Here is a 10,336-nt window from a genome sequence, read left to right as displayed (position 1 = left end):
TCAACAAGTGAATGAACGTAAATAATATTAAATAACTATTAGAAAGTCTCTCTGATTAAGCATGGAAATAAATAGGCAGTGCTTTTGACCAATAAATGGAGGACTTACAATATTTTCCAATACGAAACAAAAAGATTCTAAATGTAAAGGTTTTAGGCCCAAAATATGTTAGTCAATTCATGACAGCAGAAATTCAGCAGGTCATATTTTTGGGGTAATGTAAATGACAATAGAAATCATGGACTAAAGTGTAACAAATAAGTAATATCTAGGCAGGTGGAAATTTTAAGATCTTTTAAATTAACTTCTGGACTATAGCAAAAATTCAAACTAAAATTCATCAGGGAGTCAGGGAAGGTCAAATGAAGAAGCATGGGGATTGAGGCAAAAACCCTGAATTATACCAATATTATCTTTTTTTTTTTTTTTTTTTTTTTTTTGAGAGAGGATCTTGCTCTGTTACCCAGGCTGGAGTGCAGTGGTGCAATCATAGTTCACTGCAACCGCGACCTCCTAGGCTCAAGGGATCCTCCCACCTCAGCCTCTTGAGTATCTGGGACTACAGACCCTCATCACCACAACACCCGTCTAATTTATTTATTTTTTGTAAAGATGAGGTCTCACTTTGTTGCTCAGGCTGACAAGTATTATCTTAATGTTATAGAAAAAAAGTAATTCTGGCCATATATAGGTATTATTCTTTGCAGTGGAATATCATTTCAGAAATTTGTGCCAAACATAAAATTAGTTTTCTAGTAGTAAAAAGTAATTAAACTCTAAATTATTATTACCCCTAGTATACTGGGGAATGAGTGTGTGTTCCAAATGAAAAAAACTTGGGATGTCTAATGAGATGCTGTTTTCTGTCGCAGAAAATCTATGTAAAATGTTTTTTCTCACGTGTACACTGTTGATATTTGAGACAGCACATGTTAACACTTCAAGAAGTAAAATAAATGTGTTGATTATATCCACAGTTTTCATATTTATTAACTATATATTTTGTTTTTAATGTAATGCCTATTGAAAAACCTGTAAATAGTTGTTTCTTAAAATTGATAAATACTGCCTAAGATTTTTCTGTATATTTTCATATTTCAATTTTCCTGTGAGGTTAGAATGAACACTTTTAGCTAAGACATTTGGGCCTCCAAATCCTAAACCTTTCAGAATGTTAGTTTATTATTTGGCTTTTACCTAAATTATTTTCTGCTTATTCAAGATCCTTAGGTCTATCCAGTTACGTTTTTATTTTTTTATTTTTATTTTTTTATTTTGAAACAAAGTCTCACTCTGTTGCCAAAGCTGGAGTGCATTGGCATGATCTGGGCTCACTGCAACCTCTGCCTCCCAGGTTCAAGTGATTCTCCTGCCTCAACCTCCCGAGTAGCTGGGATTACAGGGGCATACCACCACACCCAGCTAATTTTTGCATTTTTAGTAGAGATGGGGTTTCACCATGCTGGCCAGGCTGGTCTCAAACTCCTGACTTCAGGTGATCTGCCCACCTCAGGATCCCAAAGTGCTGGGATTATAGGCGTGAGCCACCATGCCTGGCTGTATCCAGTTACATTTTTAAGACCAGCCAGGCTTAATATATATTTGGTCTTTAGCTCAATTCAATTTGTTGCATTTTGTCCATTGTACTTCATGTGACACAGAATATATCTTAATTTAAAAAGACATATGTTTGTTGAGCTATCTGTTACATTGGTATATCTTGGAATTTTAAAAAATATAAACCACAGAAGCCAATTATGGCTGACATTAACAATAAATAGGTTTATCACAGAAATAGTGGGGAACTTGTAGAACTGTTGAGAAGGCTAGAGAGCCAGATCAAAGCTAGGCAGCCAGGAAATGTACCCCAAACCATGCTGTAGAACTCATCCAGGGAGGAAACCACTGTCACCACCAGTAAGAAGTAACACCGAAGATGCAGAGAGCAACAATTGCAGCAATTGCTCAATCCTAGGCTAACTGCAAAGCCACCAGCACCACTCCCACTTGTTCGCTTTGCAACAGATAGCTGCAAAGGAGGCTGAGAAAGCAAGCATTTGACATTTTAGCTTCTAAAGCAGGAGGTGGTTTCTTGTTTTCGTCAAAACTGAGAGGCTGAGGAATTCCTCAAACACAGGAACAAACATCAAATAGTAAATATTCATGCTTTAACTTGCTCAATATCAATATAAACTTTCCCTTTTGAAAGTAAACACGAAAGACCCAAGCTTCCTTCTAACAGAGTGCAACTATTTCTCTAATAATTGAACATGTACCTACAATCTCTTGAACAATGAAACAATAAAAAATTCTCAATCACAGCATGTACTCTAAGTCTAAGAATTCTGGGTTATGTCCATTCCTCTACGAAGTTCTTCACTATACTCTCTTGACATTCTGCCATATATCATTTAAAAATTAAGTTAATCACCCTCAATAAGCCCTGTTTTAAAAAGAGGGATAAATGGAGAGGAAAGAAGGAAAGTTGTTAAGATACATAAGTATGCACAGGACAATACAAGAGAAACAATGTGTTTGGATGTAAAGGCTCTCCTTTCTGCAAGTGGCCAGCAGGTCACTATTGGCATCTATGGCCATGTGCCCTCAGCTAACACCTCTGCTAGTCAGGGTTTTGCCTTGTGAGATGACCAAATATTCATTCCTGACAGAGAAATGTCCTTGATAATCTTTTTGTGTGAGCGTGCCATGGTCATTGTTAATTTCTTTCATTTAACAAAATAATAGACTTTATTTTTTGAGCAGTTTTAGCTTTATGGAAAGATCGAGCAGAAAGTACAGAGTTCTCACATACTGTCACCTTTATCCCACCCCCAGTTTACATTAGAGTTCACTCTTTGTGTGGTACAGGTCTAGGAGTTTTGCAAAACGCATAATGTCATGTACCCATCATTACATTATTACCAACGTATTTTCAATCCCCTAAAAATCGCCTGTTTCAGAACTATTTATCTCCCTACCCATCCCCAAACTCCTGGCAACCACTGAGCTTTTTTGTTGTTGTTGTTGTTACTTAGTTTTTATTTCATAATCATAAACTTAACTCAACTCTGCAATCCAGCTAGGCATGGAAGGGAACAAGGAAAACATGGAACCCAAAGGGAACTGCAGCAAGAGCACAAAGATTCTAGGATATTGCAAGCAAATGTGGTGGAGGGGTGCTCTCCTGAGCTACAGAAGGAATGGGTCTGGTGGTGAAAATAAAACACAAGTCAAACTCATTAGAATTGTCCACAGTCAGCAATGGTGATCTTCTTGCTGGTCTTGCTATTCCTGTACCCAAAGTGCTCCATGGCTTCCACAATATTCACACGTTCTTTCACCTTGCCAAACGCCACATGCTTGCCATCCAACCACTCAGTCTTGGCAGCGCAGATGAAAAACTGGGAACCATTTGTGTTGGGTCCAGCATTTGCCATGGACAAGATGCCAGAACCTGTATGCTTTCGGATGAGGTTCTCATCATCAAATTTCTCCCCATAGATGGACTTGTCACCGGTGCCATTAGGGCGTGTGAAGTCACCACCCTGACACATAAACCCTGGAATAATTCTGTGAAAGCAGGAACCCTTATAACGAAATCCTTTCTCTCCAGTGCTCAGAGCACGAAAGTTTTCTGCTGTCTTTGGAATCTTGTCTGCAAACAGTTTGATGGAGATGCGGCCCAAGGGCTTGCCATCCCTGGTGATTTCAAAAAAGACGACGGAGTTGACCATGGCTGATAGTACAGGGCTCACAGCGATGGTGGCGTCTGCAAAGATAACCACTGATCTTTTCACTGTCTTTATAGTTTGGCCTTTTCCAGAGTGTTGTATAGTTGAAATCACAGTATGTACCCTTTTCAGACTGGCTTCTTTCACTTAGCAAAATGTCTTTGTTTTTCTGTATCTTTTTGTGGCTTGATAGTTTTTTCCTTTTAGCACTGAATAATATTCCACTGTAGGAATATACCACAGTTTGCTTATGCAGTCACCTATTGAAGGACATCTTGGTTGCTTCCAAGTTGTGGCAGTCTTCATTTCTTTCTTTCTTTCTTTCTTTCTTTCTTTCTTTCTTTCTTTCTTTCTTTCTTTCTTTCTTCTTTTTTTTTTTTTTTTTTTGAGACAGAGTCTTGCTCTGTCACCCAGGCTGGAGTGAAGTGGCACAATCTCAGCTCATTGCAACCTCCGCCTCCCAGGTTCAAGTGATTCTCTTCCTCAGCCTCTGGAGTAGCTGGGATTACAGGTGTGCACCACCATGCCTGGTTAGTCTTCAGGAATATTTACAGGACTGTATAGAATTAGGAGCCATCAAAGGGGATCCCTGAATTCTTTCTGTTTTTCTTACAAATACCAGTTTTAAGGTCAAGATTTACTACCCCATGCCACAGTGTAGCCGCATTTTAAATTTTAAATTTTTGACTGTTTGTTTAAAGGTCTCAGGCAACCTAAAAGGCTAGATAGAAGTCTCTCATCCTCTAACGAAGGATGGATTGTAAAATGGAATACTGCTAAGACTCTCCCTTTGGGTACTAATTCTGCAAAAACCTAGAATCTCAGAGACAAGAGACAAGTATTTGGAGTGGATCATTAGATGTAATGACAAAAGGAGTCACTTCAACATTCATAACAAATATCAAAGATTGTTGTATTTTTTATATAGGAGACACCAGACAAGCTTATACTTAGTTACTAGTTCAGAGGATACACCACCACATCCTCTAGCATGAGTACAACCTTATAAGCCATTGTCTCCAGCTGGCACTGTGATTGAGTCTTTAATAAAATATTCACCATTCTGTAATAATAATAATTTTGGTTAGTGATAGGATAAATGGTGGACCAGGTGAGTCCAATGAATATCTACTCATTTGTTATACAACAAGTTCTTTTAAGAGAAGGATGTAGAACAGGATATTATGGCAGTATATATAAGGCATTCAATGTACCCGTGGAGAGTGGCGATCAGAGAAAAATGATGTCAGGTAAAGCAAATGTAATTCAAGGTTAAAGGTAGATTCCATTTACAAAATTCCTTGTTGCCTTTATCATAGAGGAGTTCCAATAAAATCAACAAGTCTGACAAAAGGTGACTGGTTTATTCACCCAGGATATGTTATTGTGTGCTTAGCCTTGGACTTTGTTGCTTGTGTGTTGGACACCTAATAGTCTTGACAGCTAAATAGGCTTTTGTAAGCGAGAGTGGTAAAGTCCAACATGTTGCTAAACCTATGTGTATTCTCTACTGCTACCACCAATGTTGCTGTTTATTAGCCTTCTAAGCAAGCAATGTAGTGCCTGGTGAAAGAGATTGTTTCATACCTTCATATCTATTTGATAACCTTCCTGATGATAGTTTGGTGAGCATTCGTATTAAGCACAAATATTCTTACACTCTGGCTCATTTTCTGTGGTTCATCTACATATTTTTTCCCCAAAACTCATTGCCACCAATCCTTCAGTCTTTGTCTTTCCGAGTCCCTAATTATCTTTTCTTTTCTTTTTTTTTTTTTTTTTTTTGAGACAGAGTTTCGCTTTGTTGCCCAGGCTGGAGTGCAGTGGTGCAATCTTGGTTCACTGCAACTTCTTCCTCCTGGATTCAAGAGATTCTCCTGCCTCAGCCTCCCAAGTAGCTAGGATTGCAGGCACACACCACCACATCTGGCTAATTTTTGTATTTTTAGTAGAGACGGAGTTTCACCATGTCAGCCAGGCTGGTTTCGAACTCCTGACCTCAGACAATCCACCTGTCCTGTCCTCCAAAAGTTCTGGGATTACAGGTGTGAGCCATCAGGCCTGGCCCCAAGTCCCTAATTATCTAGACAAATTATTAGCTGCCACATATACATCAATAATATCTCTCCTTCTAGACATCGTGGACAACCAATTACATAGGCTGAATTTCTTTTAAAATTGCATTCACGTAGGTTATAATGCCTAAGCAATCTACTTTTGGCTGCTGCTGTGATGTTGTACAGTGACTTCTGTAAATCAGGCTCAATTTTTCCCTCACTAATCAACTGGCCATAGAGAACTTCCCATGAAGACATAGGTATAGATTCTATTATTCCTACCTGCTGATGAAGCAGGATAGTTAATTGGAAAACACTTATTTCATGATAAGCAGCTCATGTTGTCATATTTTTTTGCATTGATAGGACTTCAGTTTCTACAATGGTCCAGGATCAATCAAGAGTTCTTTAAAGAAAACATTTATTTTGTCAAAGAAATGCATTTTGTTCCAAATCCTAAGAACAATAGTAGTGGTGTGTCAGAGGCTCTATTGCATCTGGATATAAAAACAAAGGGGCACAATATTCCTGACCAGTTGGGAATTATTATCTTCATCTCAATCCCATCAAAAGGTGGCAGCATGACAAGTCATGAAGTAAAAGGACCAGGTGATAAAATGAGGTCTCCAAAATCCAAAGCATCAAAGTTCTCAGTTAGTGGTCAGGGCTGCAAAGTGCCATAATTTTGCACTTTGGAAGGTATATCTTGAGAATATTGAGTGTATGAGACAAGTTAAAAGGTCATGCAGCCAGACGCGGTGGCTCACGCCTGTAATCCCAGCACTTAGGGAAGCTGAGGTGGGCGGATCATGAGATCAGGAGTTCAAGACCAGCCTGGCCAATATGGTGAAACCACATCTCTACTAAAAATACAAAAATTAGTGGGGCATCGTGGTGCCCTCCTGCAGTCCCAGCTACTTGGGAGGCTGAGGCAGCAGAATCGCTTGAACCCTGAAGGCGAAGGTTGCAGTGAGCTGAGTTGGCGCGACTGCATCCAGCCTTGGCAACACTGTGAGACTCTGTCTCTTAAAAAAACTAAAAAAATAAAAATAAAAAAAATTTAAAAGTTCGTGATTAACACCTCTGTTAGCCTCTGATCTTTATAATAATTATCACACACACACAAACCAAACACCACACATAGAGGAAACAGTAAAAGATTAAAGGACACAGCTAAAAATACATTTGTATTATTACTTCCCAAAGTTCTAAAATTATCAGAAGGGACTAGTGAATCTTTAAAAAATATTGATTATCCAACACTTTTTAATAACCAGTATAATTGCATTGAAGGCTACTGAACATGCACATGTTCCTAAAATTTTTCTGTTATGGTGTCTGGTTTGCGAAAGGAACAAAATTAAACATAGTTCCTTGGCAATTTTTCCCTCTTCCACTCTACTAATTGGCGTATGTGCGATGTGTGTTTATTGTAAAATAGGAATAAGATTCAGAGGTCAAGAATCAAAGTGAGTCAGAGTAGGAAAAGCCAGACTCAAGCATAACAGAAGGGCAGAGCCTGTCAAACCCCAAAATTAAAGGGTAAATTTCAACACAAGTAGAAGTGGTTCAAAAGCTAAGGGCATCCTCATAGTTCATGAAAAACAAGTATTCACGCAGGTAGCAGACTCTAATCTGCTTCAAGCCAATGTGCTATTCTCTTCGTGTTATTTATATCCCTCAGAATACCTCAAAGTTCCCAAGAGCAGTCAGTATTTAACTCTAAACTATATCATCTATATGATATATTTATTATATATAATATATATATTTATTATTTGTATAATACATATTATATATTTATTATATATTATATTTATATTGATTATATATAATATATATATATTTATTATTATATATTTTTTTGAGACGGAGTTTTGCTTTTGTTGCCCAGGCTGGAGTGCAATGGCGCTATCTCGGCTCACCACAACCTCTGCCTCCCAGGTTCAAGTGATTCTCCTGCCTCAGCGTCCTGAGTAGCTGGGATTACAGGCATGTGCCACCACGCCTGGTTAATTTTGTATTTTTAATAGAGAAGGGGTTTCTCCATGTTAGTCAGGCTGGTATTGAACTCCCATCCTCAGGTGATCTGCCTGCCTCGGCCTCCCAAAGTGCTGGGATTATAGGTGTGAGCCAACGTGCCCAGCCAACTATGTAATATTTTAATTGTGTAGTGATAACCCTCATCAAAAGAAGTATTCATTATGGTCAGTGTACTCTGCTTATTTACCACTGAAGCTTAACACAAAATTGTTGAAATAAACATGCATATTGAAGTACTTAGCTAGCTATTGAGGCAATACAGGTTTCTAGATTTACTCATTTTTTTCACTGTACACACATGTCGTGTGTGTCATGATAAACCCATGTGTGTGCATATATTGATTAAATATTATATTTCTTTTTACTTTTATTATTATTATTGAGAAAAGATCTCACTCTGTCGCCCAGGCTGGAGTGCAGCGGCACAATCTCGGCTGCCTGCAGCCTTGTCCTCCCAAAGCCCTAGACCCTGTAACATAATGGAATATGTATGTTTCTAATTTGTGCAATATGGAAGCAGGAATACTACATAGAACTGTCATCTTTTCCTATTGCATTTATTTTGGTGTGGAAAAATATAATAATTGGCTTCAGTCAGTAAGTCTATTTCATTCAAGAATATTTAAATATAATCCAAACCATCTTAGGTACATTTTGTGATACAAGAGGATGGTATCTTCTATTTGGAAATATAAAATCCCAGGGTCTCACAGTTTAAGTATACTTTCCAGGGGTATGTATAAAACAAGAATCCCACTTTACAAAGTTAATAGAAAAAATATATGCTAATTGGAAGGAGAGGCTTCTGATTGAGGATAAAGTGGAAATTTTCACATACTGCTAATTACACTTTAATGGAGTAAGAAAAAAAGAATTGGAAATAGTACCCTATAAAACTTCTGAAATGAAATTACAGTTTCTCTCTCTCTCTCTCTTTTTTTTTTTTTTTCTTGAGACGGAGTTTCGCTCTTGTTGCCCAGGCGAGAGTGCAATGGCGCTATCTCAGCACACTGCAACCTTCACCTCCCGGGTTTAAGTGATTCTTTTGCCTCAGCCTCCCAAGTAGCTGGGATTACAGGCATGCACCACCATGCCCAGCTAATTTTTTGTATTTTTAGTGACCCACCACGCCTGGCTGTCTCCTCTTTTTAGAATTAGGAGAACTGATTTTTTTCAGTGCTAAACTGGCACTGTCCTATGTTTTCAAGAAAGCAATATGGTGAAACGAAAGAGCCTGGATAGCATGTTTTGTTAGCTGGCGTCTAGTTCTTTAAGTTCCATGAGTCTATTGTGTCTTCTTTACATCTCAAAAAGAAGAGAGAAGAAACCTGCATCTAATTACTGAAGCAGTTTCATTCAGCAAATGTAATTGCATCGCAGGCACATCTCAAATTAAAAATCTTCATCTTGGTCTCTGTCATTTCCATTTTAAACTGGGACTGAATAACCTGTTTTGCCACTCAAAATAATAGCCAGTGTCTCTTTCTTATTAAAATATGTGATCTTTTGCTTGATTACCTAATTATGTCACCTGCACCTTACATGAGGCAGATAGAAGAGTCTTCCAGTCTGCCAGAGCAGATCTACCAAACTAGACTGCACATACAAATTACCTGGGGATCCTGATAAATTACAGATTCTGAGTCTGCTTTCAAAGAGGGCCTCAAGTCAAGCTGATGGTATTAGTCCCAGGATCCCTCACTGAGTAGCAAGGTCTTAGAATTAAAAAGTGTGCAAGTATAAGGCCGGGAGCAGTGGCTCATGCCTGTAATCCCAGCACTTTGGGAGGCCAAGGCGGGTGGATCACCTGAGGTCAGGAGTTCGAGACCAGCCTGGCCAACATGGTGAAACCCCGTCTCTACTAAAACTACAAAAAATTAGCCAGGTGTGGTGGCACGCACCTGTAATCCCAGCTACTAAGAAGGCTGAGGCAGAAGAATTGCTTGAACCTGGGAGGTGGAGGTTGCAGTGAGCCAAGATCACGCCACTACACTCCAGCCTGGGCAACAACAGCAAAACTCCATAAAAAAAAAAAAAGTGCAAGTTTATAAACATGGAAACGTGGACAATTGTAAGCAATATTAGAGAACTGTAGAAAACAATTTTTTAAGTGATATGTTTAACCTATTTAGAATAAAACCCATTATGGTCCTAGGAATTTCTGGAACTGCCTTACTTGTGAGAAACATGATCCTAAGATGCCCATTTGTTTATCAGTACATCAATTTTCTCCTTCTTGAATTGGTATCATTATTTTCTTCCAAGAAGCCTAGCACACTTTTGTTGTTGTCATTGAAAGAGGGCATATAAGGGTTATGGCTGCTATTTGGAGAAATGCATTAGAAAATAAAAAGCTTGAAAAAGTTGTATTACTGAGAAAAAAGTTGAATGAAAATAAGAAAGATTAAATTGAAATAAATAATGAATCAGTAAGGTATGCACTGTTAAACACTTGATGGGATTTCCCAAGTATCAACATGCTGATAACTTGAAATAAGAATGGGA

General features: G+C 38.4%; 1 protein-coding gene across 1 annotated transcript; it reads right to left on the bottom strand.

The window, feature by feature from the left end:
- Positions 1-3,024: 3,024 nt before the first annotated feature.
- Positions 3,025-3,784, bottom strand: PPIAL4F (peptidylprolyl isomerase A like 4F). Its single transcript, NM_001164262.3, has one exon. The coding sequence runs from the start codon at positions 3,732-3,734 to the stop codon at positions 3,240-3,242; it is 495 nt and encodes a 164-aa protein (NP_001157734.2). The 5' UTR covers positions 3,735-3,784; the 3' UTR covers positions 3,025-3,239.
- Between the last annotated feature and the right edge of the window lie 6,552 nt (positions 3,785-10,336).

Source organism: Homo sapiens, chromosome 1, assembly GCF_000001405.40.
Source record: "Homo sapiens chromosome 1, GRCh38.p14 Primary Assembly".
NCBI lineage: Eukaryota > Metazoa > Chordata > Mammalia > Primates > Hominidae > Homo > Homo sapiens.
This window is presented reverse-complemented; position numbering and strand designations above follow the sequence as displayed.